The sequence below is a fragment of the Homo sapiens genome, chromosome 2, assembly GCF_000001405.40.
Source record: "Homo sapiens chromosome 2, GRCh38.p14 Primary Assembly".
Taxonomy (NCBI): Eukaryota; Metazoa; Chordata; class Mammalia; order Primates; family Hominidae; genus Homo; species Homo sapiens.
In genome coordinates, this window is record NC_000002.12 from 120072605 (window position 1) to 120092613 (window position 20009).

The following is a 20009-nucleotide window of genomic DNA, read 5'->3' on the forward strand; positions in this document are numbered from 1 at the left end:
ATAGGATGAGTTCATGTCCTTTGCAGGGACATAGATGAAGCTGGAAACCATCATTCTTAGCAAACTAACACAGGAACAGAAAACCAAACACTGCATGTTCTTCCTCATAAGTGGGAGTTGAACAATGGTAACACATGGACACAGGGAGGGGAACATCACATACTGGCGCCTGTTGGGAGGGTGAGGGACTAGGGGAGGGATACCATTAGGAGAAATATCTAATGTAGATGATGTGTTGATGGGTGCAGCAAACCACCATGGCATGTGTATACTTACGTAACAAACCTGCACGTTCTGCACATGTATCCCAGAACTTAAAGTATTTAAAAAAAAAAAAAGTCATCTGTCAGGTTTTAGGTCGTTTTTGTTCACGTGTGTCATAAGCTTGCTATGGTGGATATTGGCTAGATACTCTTCCTTCTCACCTCTTTTCTCATTCACTTGGGTTTTTCTCTTGTGAAGTATTTCCTTGCGGTTATCAGTGTAGGCACAATGAAAAGTAACTTTTAGTAATTCATTCAAATTTTAAAGTTCTGTCATCTGCTTAACTAAATTTTTGTTTTTGTTTTTCAGCATTGGTTGGATGGTACAAAAAGCATCAAAAAGCAAGTAAAAAGTAAGTGCAGACAAAATTATTTGTGGGGGGGAAAGGAAATAGAATATATTAGAAATTCTGATTTCTAATAGGATGTAAGAAATCATGTTTCAGATGAGTTTTTTAGCATTTCCATTTTCTAGAAATTATTTTATTCTGATACACTGAGCTACTCCCCAAGTCATGTAGGCTTGATACTAATCTAGATTAAACTGCATTGGGGCTTAACTTTCCAGGAGAAAACCTTGCAGCTTGCAAATGGGATTGACTTTCCCCGAAATGCTTAATGGTTATTTTTTAATTAGTTGTGTTGGAATTTTCCTGTTTGGCATCTGCCCTAATATTGAAAGTATTTTGAGACTTTGTGATATTTTAAAATTAAGAAAAATGAAACAATTCACATAAAATGTTAGTGTCATTCAGAGAGAGAATACCATTGTTTATTCATTATCCAACTTGACTTTTTATCAGACTTATTAGGGCACCTCAACTCTTGTCTCAAAATAATGAGACCACTGAGATTATAGAAGTTAGTGAACTTGCTGAATTGTATTTGTGTGGGAAGATTCACCATGAGCAGTTAATAACATAGGCATTCTTCAGTGTAGCAGGTTTTCAGGGCTGTTAGGTTGCACAGTCAAGACTTTTATTTGATGCATTTGGCTCTGAACTGTTAGAATTAATCTATAGCTGTCTATTCTTGGGATGAGAGTTAATAGTAATATGATGGCTTGGTACATTAAAAAACAATCTAATTGAAGCCTATGATCTAACCTGCAATAATGCCATAAAAACCTCATCTTTTGTCTCACTTCAGTAGATTTTTGACCAGTTTTCTGGCTGAAAAGTATTATTTAAGTAGTTTATTTTATTAAAACCTTTTTTTTTTTTAAATGACAGTTGGTTCACCCTATTGTCTGCATCTTCGAGTTAAGTTTTATTCCTCAGAACCAAATAACCTTCGTGAGGAGCTAACCCGGTAAGAACACCATCTAGAATTGTGCCAGGGTTATTTTGATAGTTTTGAAAGACTGTCTTTATATTGTTTCCAATTTATAGCCAGCTAATAAAATGGATTCCTGTCCCCTGGTAACAAGACCTCAAATAATAGAATTTTATTCTGGGACGTGTTTTTTAAGTGTATGATTCTTTTCCTTTAGCATTTTCAAAATAAAGAGTTGGTTTCTTAGCATCCTCCAAAGGTGACTAGTGAGTTCTTTTTTTTAAGTATCACTCTCAACTCAGGAATGTTAACAGGATTCACATGTTTCAATACATTGCAATATTATATTTATTGATGTTGAAAATAATCTATCTTTGGCCACAGGGAGTTTATTCAAATTGGCGCCCAACTTTCTTTACTCATTGAAATGCCATTGATTAATGAAAAACATTAGATTCTGATTGGTTTGAATAGTTTTGAATAAACCTTATGTTGTATATACTTATTTTAATGTTATCCTGCCTCCTTTGTATTTATTCATGGTCTCTATTATAAATTCATTGCTCCATATACACATACTATTTATTAAATGAAAAAGTTGAGCTTTTGAGTTCCTTTAGAAGGGTTTCCTTTAGAACACCTTGACAATGAGATAGTAGCTATCATCTGTAGTTATATCCATGTCTGTATCCCTTCACATAACAAGTAGATGTCTCGCTCTGTCATCTAGGCTGGAGTGCAATGGCATGTTCTCAGTTCACCGCAACCTCTGTTCCCCCAGGTTCAAGCAGTTCTCATGCCTCAGCCTCCCAAATAGCTGGGATTACAGGCACGTGCTCACACCCCCAGCCAATTTGCGTATTTTAATAGAGACGGGGTTTCGCCATGTTGGCCAGGCTGGTCTTGAACTCCTGGCCTCAAGTGATCCACCCGCCTCGCCCTCCCAAAGTGCTAGGATTATAGGTGTGAGCCACTGCACCAGGCCTTTAATTAAGAATACTTCTAAGATCTAGTGTTAGATCAGTAGGGTGATTATAGTTTACAATTACGTATTTTACATTTCAGAATAGCTAGAAGAAAATAATTCAAATATTTCTAGCATAAAGAAGAGAAAAATATTTAAGGTGATGGATACCCCACGTATACTGACTTGATCCTTACAAATTATATGAATGTATTCAATTATTTCATGTATCCCCAAACTATGCACATCTTTTATACATTAATACAAGTAATTTTTAATGAAATAATACTTCTCAAGTTAGAAGTGTAAGATTTTTTTTCACAGTCGATTGTGCTGTTGGGTTAAATTTGTGCCTTTCATTTTTCTTAGGTATTTATTTGTTCTTCAGTTAAAACAAGATATTCTCAGTGGAAAGTGAGTATTAGTTATTTAAGGATAAATGCACATTTTCGTGAGTGGTTGAAAAATTATTTTGAAAATAAGTTTATAGTTGTAAAAAAGAAATGGTCAACATAAAACATGTATTATTTTCATTTGTCTTAAAATGAAGGTTATGAAATCAACTTGTCTAACAAACTTGTGTTTTGGTCTCAGATTAGACTGTCCCTTTGATACAGCAGTGCAATTGGCAGCTTATAATCTGCAAGGTAAGCAATTCTTATGTTGACTGTTAAGACTCAAGTATAATCTTTTTTGTGTGTGTTTTTAGTTAAAGAAGATTCTAATTATGTGCAAGAAAAGAAACAACACTGTTTTTGTATAAACTTGTATCAGGGTCCAACTCTGACTTTTACTTGTTTTAGAACATTGCCTTCTTTTTCTTCTCTTTCATGTAATTGCGCCCTTTCCACCTAAAGTGTTGAAACGTCATACTCTACCTGATAAGTCTGTAAATGCTAAGATTGGGCCTTCGGCTAACTTTTTCCTTAAAAGAAATGCAGTTATGTAGGAGTGAATTGTTGGTGAAGCCATATAGCTTAGCAGTCCTTTTGCTCCAAACCTACATTTTGTTCAGAAATAACCACAGATGAGTACATACATGTTTGTGCATTGTTCAGATTTTTCCCTGCTGCTTTCTCCCCCCGATTTTTTTTAGTTCCTTTCAGTTATTTCTTTAGGATTAATAATTTTAAAATTTTGGAAGACAGGGACTATATTTAGATTGGTATATGGGGTCATATTCAGTGTATATCAGTATATTCTTTTGTTTTGTTTTTTTTTGAGACAGGGTCTCACTCTTGTCCCCAGGCTAGAGGGCAGTTGCATGATTGTAGCTCTCTGAAGCCTTGAACTACTGGGCTCAAACGATCTTCCTGCCTGAGTAGCTGGGTCTACAGGCCATTAGGCCTGGCTAATTTTTGTACTTTTTTTTTTTTTTTTTTTTTTTTTTAGAGACGAGGTCTTGCTATGTTGCCTAGACTGGCCTGAAACCATCTTCCACCTCAGCCCTCCCAAAGTACTGTGACTATAAGCATGAACCACCACACCCAGCCTTAGTAATATTCTTAATAGATGCCAGTTAATTGTCTTTTAACGATTGCTAAATTTTTTCATTTATTCACTATAAGGTCAGAGGTATTTCTTTATGGAAGTCTAGAAAGCAGTTTTCAAAGGTTAAGTAAGCACTGAAGTGTGAATACATTAAGAGAAAGATATGTAATTAAAAATACACTACCAAAAATAAATATGAGATATATGTGTATGACTAATATGCCAGATTTACTTTTGGAGACTTGTCTGAGTATTATGAATTTTTGTAAGAAATTCCTAAGAATCTTTCTAATCTTAGCAGTTTTCATTAATGAAATGGTTTTTGAAGGATTTAGCAGGAAATACATATAACTTTTGAAACTTATGTTTATAGCTGAACTTGGTGACTATGATCTTGCTGAGCATAGTCCTGAACTTGTCTCAGAGTTCAGATTCGTGCCTATTCAGACTGAAGAGATGGAACTGGCTATTTTTGAGAAATGGAAGGAATACAGGTATCTGGCGTTTGACCATACTTTCTTTAAAATCACCACAACAGTTATTTCATATTCATTTTCTTCTGTTTCTATCCTTGGTATAGAATTTATTTTATATTTATTGTTACTTTAAAAATCATTGTTTTAAATTTCAGAGGTCAAACACCAGCACAGGCTGAAACCAATTATCTGAATAAAGCCAAATGGCTAGAAATGTATGGGGTTGATATGCATGTGGTCAAGGTAAGCATTGTGTTGTGATGCTTTTTTAAAAATTTATTCTTTGGAGGTTCGCAGTGACTGTGGAATTTTTCAGTATGAGGGAGGGCATGGAGTTTGCATAAGCTAGCACTGGGTACTTTGGATGTATGGTTAAAAAGTTTGAGATTAAATACCAAATGACTAGAATCTCACAGAAAGGTTCATTATAAGAAAGAAGAGAAGCAACCAACATCCCTAACAAGGTACTTGGTCCTTTTAAGCTGTTATTTTATTTTATTTTATTTTTTTGCTATAAAAAATTGTTTTAAGCTTTTGAGCCATTTGTTATCCTTTTTACTTCCTGTTATACGACTTACACTGAGTAGGCTCTGTTAAAATAATTCAGGATGCAAAGTTGAAGATTTATAGCTTAAAGACTTTGATAAACTTTAGAACAGCTTTGTAGTGATTTAAGTTATTTCTAGTTTAACTAGTAACATTTTTCCAGAAAGGCGGTTGTATTAGTTCATTCTCGCACTGCTATAAAGACATAAATTTATAAAGAGGTTCAATTGGCTCATGGTTTTGCAGGCTGTACAGGCTTCTCCCTCTCAGGAGGCCTCAGGAAACTTATAATCATTGGGCAACGTGAAGGGCAAACAGGCACATCTGTACATGGCTGGCAGGAGGGAGAGAGAGCAAAGAGGGAGGTGCTACACACTTTCAGACAACCAGATCTTGTGAGAACTCATTCACTATCATGAGAACAGCAAGGGGGAAGTCCGTCTCCATGATTCAGTCACCTCCCACCAGGCCCCTCCTCCAATACTGGGGATTACAATATGACACAAGATTTGGGTGTAGACATAGAGCCAAACCGTATCAGCAGTCTTTTCCAAAATACATGATTTAAGTGGTAAGTATAATATGGGAAGAATGTGGAAACAGCTTTGTTTGTAGTGGGAGTGTAACTACCCACTTTCAATGAAGATACACTTTAAAACTCTAGTGTTTCAATGACTAGAAATAAAAATATATGCATAAATTTTTCTGAGAATATTATTATGGATACTCTAATTGTTGAAAACATCTCATATATTAATATTAGCCTGTATATAATTAATACAATTCAATACAAAAATAAAATTTAAAAGTTGTGTCAATGTGAAACCTGTTTTGTACAAATAAAGCTAACACATTTTTCTCCCCTTAAATTAGGCTAGAGATGGGAATGACTATAGTTTGGGACTAACACCAACAGGAGTCCTTGTTTTTGAAGGAGATACCAAAATTGGCTTATTTTTTTGGTAAGCAAGAGTTATTGTCAAAGATACTTACTGTTGTTTTGGTTTTTAATGAGTAAATAAAGTTAATACATAAACAAGTTTGGAAATCAAATAGTTTTGAAAAACTTGTCAATGAAAGCAACTGTCTCCTGTCACACTATTACGCATCATTATTCCTACTCTCCAGAGGCAATTATTAAAACTCTTCTAGCTGTATTTCCCATTAGTTTCAAAGTATACCACAATCTATATCTTGATATAAATATTTATATTTTTATATGTATCAGATGTTCACATGGGCACTTTCTCCCTCCATGTAGTCATGTCATTGCTTTTAATATTTATTATTCCACAATCCCTTTACCCCCTATTGTGTAAGAGGAAGATACTAATATTTTTATCCCTTCTCTAAGCTGTGCTCCTTATACTGTTCCAGCTTTTATCGTTCATACTTTTAAATTACATTTATGTTTTACTTTTACATCAAGGATAGATTTTACTTGGATTTCTTGGCCATAATTGAGTCCATCAGATTTTGTCTGGTATTCTAAAAGCTGAGAATCAGGGTACTGTTTACAATAAGATGTCTCTATCAGAATAGTACAGAGCCTAGGTGTTTACTTTTGTACACTAGACAGGGACTGTTAGCGCAAAGACCTCTGGCATCAAACTCAAATTCTGACACATCCAGTTACTTTAAACATAGCCCACTACGTATATTTTTAGCCATTTCTGCTTTATATATCCCATGAAACTGCACCCTAACATCTACTGGCCATAGATAAGGCAAGCTCTGTAGATTAAAGGACCCCAAAACCACTGCTGCCTTTCTGAATTCTCTGACTCAGATCCCTCACACTTAACTGCTGAATGCCATCCCCTAGGCACTTAAGCCCCCTCTCAGGTTCCCCTCTTTACTGAGAGTTTCCTTGCCCTCCTCCCCATCTGGTGGTAGCCTTGCAGCTGCTGTCTCTGGAAGGTCACCTGCTATGAAGGACCACCCCTATCAGGCAACCCTTTCCAAACACTGCTCGATAAAGCCTGTTCTGTGGTACATTTTCTTGATCAGCTCGGAAGTCCTGGAACTCACAACTGGTATTACATTTCCTTTCTTTTTAGCTATTTGTTTTTGTTCTAGAGTTCTTGGCTTCCCCATCTCACATACCCCACACATCCCTTTAAATTACCTGCCTTTGTCTTCTCCTCAAGCTTTTTTAAGTTATCAAGGGTTACATTAAATGGTCCTTCTGTTCCCTGTGGAACTGTTTGCTGCACAGGTTGCTTTCCAGCTTTTATCTTGAGACTTCCCTTTCCTGTGTTCTCAGCTAGGGTCCTGCGTGGTCCTCCCATGGTTTCCTTTTTCTTTGTCCTCCCTGCCCCCGCTAACTGCCTAAGTAAAGAAAGTAACTGCCTAAGAAAAGTAATTTGTTTGAATGCTTAAATGCCTTAAAATGATTTTTTTGTCTTTTATTCTTTCTTGATAATTAGGCTGAGGATAGAATTTTAGGTTGAAAATTATTTCCCTCAAAAAATTGAAAGTAGTATTTCTTTTTTTTTTTTTATTATACTTTAAGTTCTAGGGTACATGTGCAAAGTGTGCAGGTTTGTTACGTATGTATACATGCGCCAAGTTGGTGTGCTGCACCGATTAACTCGTCATTTACATTAGGTATATCTCCTAATGCTATCCCTCCCCCTCCCCCAACCCCACGACAGGCCCCGGTGTGTGATGTTCCCCTTCCTGTGTCCAAGTGTTCTCATTGTTCAGTTCCCACCGACGACTGAGAACATGCGGTGTTTGGTTTTTTGTCCTTGCAATAGTTTGCTGAGAATGATGATTTCCAGCTTCATCCATGTCCCTACAAAGGATATGAACTCATCCTTTTTTATGGCTGCATAGTATTCCATGGTGTATATGTGCCACATTTTCTTAATCCAGTCTATCATTGATGGACATTGGGGTTGGTTCCAAGTCTTTGCTATTGTGAATAGTGCCGCAGTAAACATACGTGTGCATGTGTCTTTATAGCAGCATGATTTATAATCCTTTGGGTATATACCCAGTAATGGGATGGCTGGGTCAGATGGTATTTCTAGTTCTAGATCCTTGAGGAATCGCCACACTGTCTTCCATAATGGTTGCACTAGTTTACAGTCCCACCAACAGTGCAAAAGTGTTCCTGTGTCTCCACATTCTGTCCAGCACCTTCTGTTTCCTGACTTTTTAATGATGGCCATTCTAACTGGTGTGAGATGTATCTCATTGTGGTTTTGATTTGCATTTCTCTGATGGCCAGTGATGATGAGCATTTTTTCATGTGTCTGTTGGCTGCATAAATGTCTTCTTTTGCGAAATGTCTGTTCATATCCTTTGCCCACTTTTTGGTGGGGTTGTTTGTTTTTTTTTCTTGTAAATTTGTTTGAGTTCTTTGTAGATTCTAGATATTAGCACTTTGTCAGATGGGTAGATTGCAAAACTTTTCTCTCATTCTGTAGGTTGCCTGTTCACTCTGATGTAGTTTCTTTTGCTGTGCAGAAGCTCTTTAGTTTAATTAGATCCCATTTGTCAATTTTGGCTTTTGTTGCCATTGCTTTTGGTGTTTTAGACATGAAGTCTTTGCCCATGCCTATGTCCTGAATGGTATTGCCTAGGTTTTCTTCTAGGGTTTTTATGGTTTTAGGTCTAACATTTAAGTCTTTAATCCATCTTGAATTGATTTTTGTATAAGGTGTAAGGAAGGGATCCAGTTTCAGCTTTCTACATACGGCTAGCCAGTTTTCCCGGCACCATTTATTAAATAGGGAATCCTTTCCCCATTTCTTGTTTTTGTCAGGTTTGTCAAAGATTGGATGGTTGTAGATGTGTGGTATTATTTCCGAGGGCTCTGTTCTGTTCCATTGGTCTATATCTCTGTTTTGGTACCAGTACCATGCTGTTTTGGTTACTGTAGCCTTGTAATATAGTTTGAAGTCAGGTAGCGTAATGCCTTCAGCTTTGTTCTTTTTGCTTAGGATTGTTTTGGCTATATGGGCTCTTTTTTGGTTCCGTATGAACTTTAAAGTAGTTTTTTCCAATTCTGTGAAGAAAGTCATTGTTAGCTTGATGGGGATGGCATTGAATCTATAAATTACCTTGGGCAGTATGGCTATTTTCATGATATTGATTCTTCCTATCCATGAGCATGGAATGTTCTTCCATTTGTTTGTGTCCTCTTTTATTTTGTTGAGCAGTGGTTTGTAGTCCTCCTTGAAGAGGTCCTTCACATCCCTTGTAAGTTGGATTCCTAGGTATTTTATTCTCTTTGAAGCAATTGTGAATGGGAGTTCACTCATGATTTGGCTCTCTGTTTGTCTGTTATTGGTGTATAAGAATGCTTGTGATTTTTGCACATTGATTTTGTATACTGAGACTTTGCTGAAGTTCCTTATCAGCTTAAGGAGATTTTGGGCTGAGATGATGGGGTTTTCTAAATATACAATCGTGTCATCTGTGAACAGGGACAGTTTGACTTCCTCTTTTCCTAATTGAATAGCCTTTATTTCTTTCTCCTGCCTGATTGCCCTGGCCAGAACTTCCAACACTATGTTGAATAGGAGTGGTGAGAGAGGGCATCCCTGTCTTGTGCCAGTTTTCAAAGGGAACGCTTCCAGTTTTTGCCCTTTCAGTATGATATTGGCTGTGGGTTTGTCATAAATAGCTCTTATTATTTTGAGATACATCCCATCAATACCTAATTTATTGAGAGTTTTTACCATGAAGGCTGTTGAATTTTATCAAAGGCTTTTTCTGCATCTATTGAGATAATCGTGGTTTTTGTCATTAGTTCTGTTTATATGCTGGATTACATTTATTGATTGGCATATGTTGAACCAGCCTTGCGTCCCAGGGATGAAGCCCACTTGATCTTGGGGGTAAGCTTTTTGATGTGCTCCTGGATTCGGTTTGCCAGTATTTTATTGAGGATTTTTGCATCGATGTTCATCAGGGATATTGGTCTAAAATTCTCTTTTTTTGTTGTGTCTCTGCCAGGCTTTGGTATAGGATGATGCTGGCCTCATAAAATGCGTTAGGGAAGATTCCCTCTTTTTCTATCAGTTAGAATAGTTTCAGAAGGAATGGTACCAGCTCCTCCTTGTACCTCTGGTAGAATTTGGCTATGAATCCATCTGGTCCTGGACTTTTTTTGGTTGGTAGACTATTAATTATTGCCTCAATTTTAGAGCCTGTTATTGGTCTATTCAGGGATTCAACTGCTTCCTGGTTTAGTCTTGGGAGGGTGTATGTGTCCAGGAATTTATCCGTCTATTCTAGATTTTTTGTTTATTTGCATAGAGGTGTTTATTGTATTCTCTGATGGTAGTTTGTATTTCTGTGGGATCGGTGGTAATATCCCCTTTATCATTTTTTATTGCTTCTATTTGATTCTTCTCTCTTGTCTTCTTTATTAGTCTTGCTAGCAGTCTATCAATTTTGTTGATCTTTTCAAAAAACAACCAGCTCCTGGATTGATTTTTTTGAAGGGTTTTTTGTGTCTCTATCTCCTTCAGTTCTGCTGTGATCTTAGTTATTTCCTGCCTTCTGCTAGCTTTTGAATGTGTTTGCCCTTGCTTCTCTAGTTCTTTTAATTGTGATGTTAGGGTGTCAGTTTTAGATCTTTCCTGCTTTCTCTTGTGGACATTTAGTGCTATAAATTTCCCCCTACACACTGCTTTAAATGTGTCCCAGAGATTGTGGTATGTTGTGTCTTTGTTCTCATTGGTTTCAAAGAACATCTTTATTTCTGCCTTCATTTCATTATGTACCCAGTAGTCATTCAGGAGCAAGTTGTTCATTTTCCATGTAGTTGAGTGGTTTTGAGTGTTTCTTAATCCTGAGTTCTAGTTTGATAGCACTGTGGTCTGAGAGACAGTTTGTTATAATTTCTGTTCTTTTACATTTGCTGAGGAGTGTTTTACTTCCAACTATGTGGTCAGTTTTGGAATAAGTGCAATGTGGTGCTGAGAAGAATGTATATTCTGCTGATTTGGGGTGGAGAGTTCTGTAGATGTCTTATTAGTTCCGCTTGATGCAGAGCTGAGTTCAATTCCTGGATATCCTTGTTAACTTTCTGTCTCGATCTGTCTAATGTTGACAGTGGGGTGTTAAAGTCTCCCACATTATTGTGTGGGAGTCTGAGTCTCTTTGTAGGTCTCTAAGCACTTGCTTTATGAATCTGGGTGCTCCTGTATTGGGTGCACATATATTTAGGATAGTTAGCTCTTCTTGTTGAATTGATCTCTTTACCATTATGTAATGGCCTTCTTTGTCTCTTTTGATCTTTGTTGGTTTCAGGTCTGTTTTATCAGAGACTAGGATTGCAACCTCTGCCTTTTTTTGTTTTCCATTTGCTTGGTAGATCTTCCTCCATCCCTTTATTTTGAGCCTATGTGTGTCTCTGCACGTGAGATGGGTCTCCTGAATACAGCACACTGGTGGGTCTTGACTCTTTATCCAATTTGCCAGTCTGTGTCTTTTAATTGGAGCATTTAGCCCATTTACATTTAAGGTTAATATTGTCATATGTGAATTTGATCCTGTCATTTGATCCTGTCACAGCTAACATGCTGTGATGTTAGCTGGTTATTTTGCTCATTAGTTGATGCAGTTTCTTCCTAGCATCGATGGTCTTTACAATTTGGCATGGTTTTGCAGTGGCTGGTACCAGTTGTTCCTTTCCGTGTTTAGTGCATCCTTCAGGAGCTCTTGTAAGGCATGCCTCGTGGTGACAAAATCTCTCAGCATTTGCTTGTCTGTAAACTATTTTATTTCTCCTTCACTTATGAAGCTTAGTTTGGTTGGATGTGAAATTCTGGGTTGAAAATTCTTTTCTCTAAGAATGTTGAGTATTGGCCCCTAGTCTCTTCTGGCTTGTAGAGTTTCTGCCGAGAGATCTGCTGTTAGTCTGATGGGCTTCCCTTTGTGGGTAACCCGACCTTTCTCTCTGGCTGCCCTTAACATTTTTTCCTTCATTTCCACTTTGGTGAATCTGACAATCATGTGTCTTGGAGTTGCTCTTCTGGAGGAGTATCTTTGTGGTGTTCTCTGTATTTCCTGAATTTGAATGTTGGCCTGCCTCGCTAAGTTGGGGAAGTTCTCCTGGATAATATCCTGCAGAGTGTTTTCCAACTTGGTTCCATTCTCCCCTTGACTTTCAGGTACACCAATCAGACGTAGATTTGGTCTCTTTACGTAGTCCCATATTTCTTGGAGGCTTTGTTCGTTCCTTTTTACTCTTTTTTTCTCTAAACTTCTCTTCTGACTTCATTTCATTCATTTGATCTTCAATCACTGATACCCTTTCTTCCAGTTGATCAAATCAGCTACTGAAGCTTGTGCATGCATCACGTCGTTCTCATGCCATGGTTTTCAGCTCCATCAGGTCATTTAAGGACTTGTCTACACTAGTTATTCTAGTTAGCCGTTTGTCTAATCTTTTTTCAAGGTTTTTAGCTTCTTTGTGATGGGTTCGAACTTCCTCCTTTAGCTCAGAGAAGTTTGATCATCTGAAGCCTTCTCTCAACTCGTCAAAGTGATTCTCCGTCCAGCTTTGTTCCATTGCTGGCGAGGAGCTATGTTCCTTTGGAGGGGAGAGGCGCTCTGATTTTTAGAATTTTCAGCTTTTCTGCTCTGTTTTTTCCCCGTCTTTGTGGTTTTATCTACCTTTGGTCTTTGATGATGGTGATGTACGGATGGGGTTTCGATGCGGATGTCCTTTCTGTTTGTTAGTTTTCCTTCCAACAGCTGCAGGTCTGTTGGAGTTTGCTGGAGGTCCACTCCAGACCCTGTTTGCCTGGGTATCACCAGTGGAGGCTGCAGAACAGCGAATATTGCTGAACAGCAAATGTTGCTGCCTGATTGTTCCTCTTGAAGCTTCGTCTCAGAGGGGTACCCAGCCGTGTGAGATGTCAGTGTGCCACTACTGGAGGGTGCCTCCCAGTTAGGCTACTTGGGGGTCAGGGACCCACTTGAGGAGGCAGTCTGTCCGTTCTCAGATCTCAAACTCCGTGCTGAGAGAACCACTGCTCTCGAAGGTAGTATTTCATTTAGTTTTGCATCTGGGTGTTCTTGCTAGGGACTCTCTGAGAGACTTGAGTTGAACACCTTTACGGTTGTCCCTTGATGCGTGAAGAACCTCAGGCAATTATCTTCCAATTTTTTGGGTGTTAAATCCCCTCATACCTCCAGCTTGTCCTGTGGGCAAATGTAACATGCTTCCTGGCCTAAGAATGCTTTAGGCAGAGAGATAAAGAAAGCTCCTTTTCTGCCTTTTTATAAGGTTGTCTTGAGAGTTAATTAATACTTGTAAAGCACTTAGAAGAATACTTAGGGCAGACCAGGTGGCTCACTCCTGTAATCCCCACCAAGGCAGGGGCTCACCTGAGGTCAGGAGTTCAAGACCAGCCTGGCCAACATGGTGAAAACCTGTCTCTACTAAAAATACTAAGATTAGCCAGGCATAGCATGGTGGCACGCACCTGTAATCCCAGCTACTCTGGAGGCTGAGGCAGGAGAATTGCTTGAACCTGGGAGGTGGAGGTTGTAGTGAGCCAAGATCACGCCACTGCACTCCAGCCTTTGTGACAGAGTGAGATTCTGTTTCCTTTCTTTTTCCTGCTATTATTTCTTCATTATTGTTTTAGTAAAGCTCTTGTAAAGTTATGTTTTACATCTATTTTATATGTTATATTTAAAGATTAGTCAATCGGAGTGTCACATTGTTTCGACATTCACAATTTATGGAAATACAGAGTTCAAATGTGTGGTAGGTGGTTTGGAATTTACAAGTAGGGAGATACAGTTGGAAAGCGGGCCATAAAGCGAGGTTAAAAAAATTAAGAAGTATTTCCTCTACCCAAAATTCCTGTTGAAAACAGAGTTGAGGCTGGTTGCAGTGGCTCACGTCTGAATTCCAACACTTTGGGAGACCAGGGTATGCGGATCACTTGAGCCCAGGAATTTGAGACCAGCCTGGGCAACGTAGCGAGATGCCGTCTCTACAAAGAATACAAAAATTAGCCTGGTGTGGTGTGGGAGTAAGGCTGAGGCAGGAGGATTACTGGAGCCTGGAAGTTCACGGCTGCAGTGAGCTGTGAACACACTACTGCAGTCCACCCTGTGTAATGGAGGGAGAACCTATCTCAAACAAACAAAAAGAGTTGAAAACCATCGTCAGTGTTTTTCTTTATGGCTGTTTTTTTTAAGCTTTATGGTCGTTCCTATGTCTAGTTCCTATGCTGCTGCTCTGCTTTAACACTGGAACAATTTTCCCTAGACCTAAAGAATCTCTTACACCATAATCGAGACCTATCAAATACATAGATTTCATTTTCCTTAACATTTTTAATGTCTGATATGTGCAACCTCAATTTTGTCTGAGATTTGCTTTTGAAATATGTACTGTGTTTTTCTGTTTCCTGTCTTTTGATGGGCATTGCAAGTTACGTTTACCGTCCTGTCAATTTTTAGTTCAGGAGTTAGATGGTTAAATGTATTTGAAATAAAAACAATTTTTTTCATATTTAGAGAACATTTGTTTGTAATTTGGCTTTTATTCTCTTATTATATTATAGGCCGAAGATAACCAGATTGGATTTTAAGAAGAATAAATTAACCTTGGTGGTTGTAGAAGATGATGATCAGGTAGGAATAAAATTATATTCTATTACTTGTGTAACAGTGACTGTATTATGTGGTAACTTATTTCTCTAAAAGAGGGAATGTACCTCATTGTTTTAAAGAGCCACAGAATGCAAACAGTATAATTAATGCTTTAAATAATTTCCTTACTTGGGTCATACCATGCTAAAAATATGGTTTTCTGCCCTTAGGATGAAAAATAATATAAAAGTGTCTTCTTGTTTCCTCATTGATCGTATATCTGAGGTGTATAAAAAATTACATTTAAGTGAGCCAGCCAGTCACCCAGGCTGGAGGGCAGTGGCACTGTCATAGCTCACTGTAACCTTCACCTTCTGGGCTCAAGTGATCCTCCTGCTCACTCAGCCTCCTGAGTAGCTGGGACTGCAGGCACATGCCACCACCACGCCTGGCTGATTTTTTCATTTATTTGTAGAGATGGGATCTCAGTATGTTGCCAAGGTTGCTCTCAAACTCTTGGCCTTAAGTAATCCTCCCATCTTAGCTTCTCAGCATGTTGAGATTACAGGAGTAAACCATTGTGGCAGACCAACTTTATCTCTTTATTAACTGATCAAAAAGATCTACCTAATAATAATAAAGCCTTTTGAATTAAAGATTACCTTTGTATCAGTTACAGTGTGGTTCTTAATTGATACATGCTTGGATGCAACTCACATGCATTGTTCTTAATGCAAGAAGCCAGATTTAAAAAATTATGTATTGAATGACTCCATTTATCTGATACTTTAGAAAAGGCAAGAAGAATTTTACTTTATGCAAATTAATAAATTTTAACATATGCATACAGATACAGATAAAAGCAGTTTGAGCAAAATGTTAACAGTTGTTGAGTCTAGACACTATGTATATGGGTATTCAGTTTTTCTGTATGTTTAAACATTTTTATAACGATGAAAATTTTTTTTTTGAATCCAGTTCTTTCATTTTCCTCTGCTCAGTAATTTGACTGCTATACTTTTCCTGTTTTAAACACACAATGGGATACTATGCAGCCATAAAAAAGAATGAGATCTTTTTTGCGGGACCATGGATGGAGCTGGAGGATATTATCCTTAGCAAAGTAATGCAAGAAGAGAAAACCAAATACTACATGCTCTTACTTACAAGTGGGAGCTAAATGATAAGAACTTATGAACACAAAGAAGGCAACAGCGGACACTGGGATCTACTTGAGTGGGGAGGGTGGGAAGAGGGAGAAGAGTAGAAAAGATAACTAACTGAAAGATAACTGGACTTAATACCTGGGTGATGAAATAACATGTGCAATAAACCACCATGACACGTGTTTACCTATGTAACAAACCTTCTCTTGTACCCCAAACCCAAAATAAAAGTTAAAAAATAAAAAAGAGTGCTGCTCTGAACACTAAGGTGTATGTATATTTAGCTTTTGTAGGTACTGCCAAACCTCTTTCCAAAGTATTTAATACGAGTTTATACTCCCACCAGCAATGTTATTGGTGTTTTTTTTCTTTTTTGCTAATGTTTGGAATTCTGTCTTTTTCATTGTAGCCATTCTTGTGGAGTAGAATGTGGTTTTAGTTTGTGTTCCCCTAATGACAACTCTGGTTTAGTACTTATCTGTGTAGTTATTGGATATGTGGATATCTTCTTTATGAAATGCCTACTCAAATCTTTTGCTTATTTTTCTATTAGGTCATGTGCCTTTTAGTCATTGAAAAAATTCTTTGTATGTTCTGGATATTAATTCTCTGTCAGATATTAGTGTTGCAAGTATCGTCTACTCCTTGTTTTGCCCTTTTTCCACCACTTTTATTTTTAGATGACATATAATAATTGTACATATTTATTGCATACAGAGTGATATTTTGATACATGTATACAATGTGTAATTATCAAATCAGGGTAATTAGCGTATCCATCTTTACTGTCTTAATAGTGTCTTTAAATAACCTGAAAAGTACCAAAAATTATAAAATAGATAACCATCTTATTAATGATCTAGATTTAACATTTTTTACATTTTGCTTCAGTTCTCTTTTAGAGAAAGATAAATACAATTATGTGCATGAATAAATAATACCAACTAAAGTCTAACCCCCTGACTACCTACCCCCTTTCTTCTGGTACCTGGTCACCAATTTTGGAGGGTATTATTCTCATATATATTTTGTAACTTTTTCCAAATATTAACTCATGTTAGAATTGTTTTAAAAACTTGCATAATTATATATATTTGCAGCTTGCCTGTTTTATCTAAACGTGTACCTATGTAGATCTAACATATATATATGCTATTGTGTAATATGAATAAACAATAGCACATTCATTCATTCATCATTTATTCATTTATCCCTCTGCATAATTTTTTACATATGCCTCTATTTACTTGACCATTTCTCTTTTTTTGGACGTTTAGGGTTTGTACCAAGTTTTACTATTATAAATGAGACTGAGGAAATATACATCTTCATATATAACTTTTGATGTTTAGGAAATAATTTTCCCCAGAGAGGCAGTATAACTTAGTTGTTAGAGGTGTATGTAGATTCTGGAGCAAGACTAATGTTTAAGTTCATTTCCGGTTTTCTTTCTTAATAGCTTTGTGATTTTGGGCTTAATTTCTTTGAGCCTCAGTTTCCTTATCTATGAAATGGGGCTAATGATAGTATCTACTCATTGAGATAATTTATGTGAAATCCTTAGAAAAATTTCTATATGAATGTTAACTATTATAATTAGACTCATGGCAGTGTGATTACTATGACAAAAATGTGAGCATTTTTAGGGCTGTTGATGCATACTGCCAGATCTGATATGATTCCTCAAATTATAATTATACAGTTATCCCAAATAATGGCAGATAAAATCTCATTTTATGTCTCTCTCACAAATGAGATCATGTAAGTAGAGGGGAATAACTCCTAGGAATAATTTTGTATTGGCTGATAAAATGAGCAACTTGATTTCAGCTCTGCCCTTATTATGTTGATACTATAAAGAGTGTCTGAATTTCAGGGAGCACACTAGATCCTTTATTCATGGATGTGTTTGTATCTCAGAAATAGGAGATAGGACTGTTTGAATTAGTAATCATCCTTTTATATATACTTTTCTTTTTCAGGGCAAAGAACAGGAACATACATTTGTCTTTAGACTGGATCATCCAAAAGCATGCAAACATTTATGGAAATGTGCTGTGGAGCATCATGCTTTCTTCCGCCTTCGAGGCCCCGTCCAAAAGAGTTCTCATCGATCAGGATTTATTCGACTAGGATCACGATTTAGATATAGGTTAATTTTAATTGCTGTTTTATCTGTCTTTCATTGCATACAGGCCAAAAAATTTAGGCCAATCTTCTCTTTTTTACAGATATGGTAACTAAGGTATAGAGGAATAAGGTGGTTTGCCAGAGTCTTCCATTGGCCAAAATAAAATAGAAAAAGTGGTATTGTTATTGGTTATAATTTCTTGAATAGATGCGTAAACAGTAATTGTATAATGGCTTTTATATCCCTCTGGATGTTTACTTTATATATTAACCCACTCCCAGTTTATCTATTTAACAAGAGTTTTATGGACTCTCCACCCACCACTGGATACCATATAGAAAAGGGTTTCTTGCACTGAATGGGATATTAGTCTGGATAACATTTGTGGTCCTTTATAAACCTGAAGGTCATTATTCTCATGACTCCTTGTTTGTTGTCATGAGTTAGAAATGTTTTGGTTTACTGCAGAGTGGATTATTGGTTGTGAGTTTTCTGCATGCCATGGAAATCAGTTAAAGAAGGAATGGATTGTACCAATAATGTGGCCAGTTGATTGTGTGGAGTTAATAGAAGTAGTACTGTAGTCTACTTATATTAAAAGTAAGGAGGCATTTTCTAAACAGAATTTAAATGGAAATCAAGGAGAATAAGACAGTAGTCTTAAAAAACATTTCTGGAAAATTATACTGAAAAGTGAATATCACAATTAGAAAAAGTAACTGAAAATATTCTTTTAATTACACACTTTGCACTGAGGAATGTAGATGGGAAAGAGAGGGAGTTTCCATAAAAGGACAGATATTTCAAACTTATTTAATGTGTACTTAGGTGATATGCATGCATATGAGAAAAATAAAACCAACATAATCTGTTGCATATTTCACAAAAGCCGAAAGAATGATATGGTAAAGAGAGAGATCGAGACTATTAGTAGCTGTTCCTGTGCGATGAAGTTTAGGATGATTCTTTTAAGGAGAACCTGAATGTGGACTGTCTTATTTGTGTGTGTTTATTACTGTAGACCTAAAATTTCCCTTACTTCTGTTATGCCTCATTTAGTGGGAAAACAGAGTATCAGACCACAAAAACCAATAAAGCAAGAAGATCAACATCCTTTGAAAGAAGGCCCAGCAAACGATATTCTAGACGAACTCTACAAATGAAAGGTGAAGTGCAACCCTCTTTCAAAGGATTATTTTTCCTTGGCAATTAATTATGTGCTGGTGTTGTTTCCATAAGAGGAAGTTACCTGAATCTCCTCCTCAGGTCTGTTCCAGTCAACTAAAGTACTTTTCTGGCAGAATCAATTTCATGGGATACACAGAGAAAAATTGCCTGTATTGTTAGCAGAGATTAAACTTTATGTTAATCCCAATTCAAATGATAGTCTGAGGTTATGTTCAGTTTTTGTATACAAAACTGTTTCTGTAGAGCAACATATTCTCTCCCTTTTTGACTTACAGATCTCATTCTAAAACATCCCTTAATCCCCTTAGGAATTTTTAAAAACATTTTTATTTATTTATTTATTTATTTATTTATTTATTTATTTTGAGATAGTCTCACTCTGTTGCTCAGGTTGGAGTGCAGTGGCATGATCTCAGCTCACTGCAACCTCCACCTCCCAGATTCAAGTGATTCTCATGTCTCAGCCACCTGAGTAGCTGGGATTACAGGCATGCGCCACCACTCCTGACTCATTTTTGTATTTTTAGTAGAGATGGGGTTTTGCCATGTTGGCTGGGCTGGTCTTGAACTCCTGACCTCAAGTGATCCACCCACCTTGGCCTCCCGAATCCTAAAAGGATTACAGGCATGCCTGGCCAAAACATTGTCTTGTGATGAATTTTTTTTAAGTAAAATTTATTTCATATTGTATTATAATATTAAGGATTGTATTAAATACCATTTTAAAATATATTCATCATTGTTATACATAGACATTTCCTAATTCATAATTGTTACTTGCTGATTAAGATCAGTTATATAAGAAAAAGCACTATTTACCTTGACAAATAAATTAAACCTTGTGTTTGGTTTTAAACTGAATTTGCATTAAAATGAATTTGCATTAAAATGCAAATTTAATTTTAAGTATTTCCACTGTCAGAGTCATCA

At 36.9% G+C, this 20009-nt stretch overlaps 1 protein-coding gene across 13 annotated transcripts in view; it reads left to right on the plus strand.

The window, feature by feature from the left end:
* EPB41L5 (erythrocyte membrane protein band 4.1 like 5) overlaps nt 1-20009 on the plus strand; it is a 166043-nt gene that overhangs the window by 59528 nt on the left and 86506 nt on the right. For all 13 annotated transcript variants that reach the window (NR_138472.2, NR_135920.3, XM_047445208.1 and 10 more), the window contains 10 exons: nt 574-616; nt 1496-1574; nt 2872-2916; nt 3097-3149; nt 4367-4487; nt 4625-4712; nt 5889-5977; nt 14567-14636; nt 17743-17912; nt 18951-19057. Coding sequence is in view for 11 of the 13 variants with exons in the window: in XM_047445208.1 (XP_047301164.1) it covers nt 574-616; nt 1496-1574; nt 2872-2916; nt 3097-3149; nt 4367-4487; nt 4625-4712; nt 5889-5977; nt 14567-14636; nt 17743-17912; nt 18951-19057 (865 nt within the window). In the remaining 2 variants the exon portion in view is untranslated. The remainder of the gene's footprint in view (nt 1-573; nt 617-1495; nt 1575-2871; nt 2917-3096; nt 3150-4366; nt 4488-4624; nt 4713-5888; nt 5978-14566; nt 14637-17742; nt 17913-18950; nt 19058-20009) is intronic.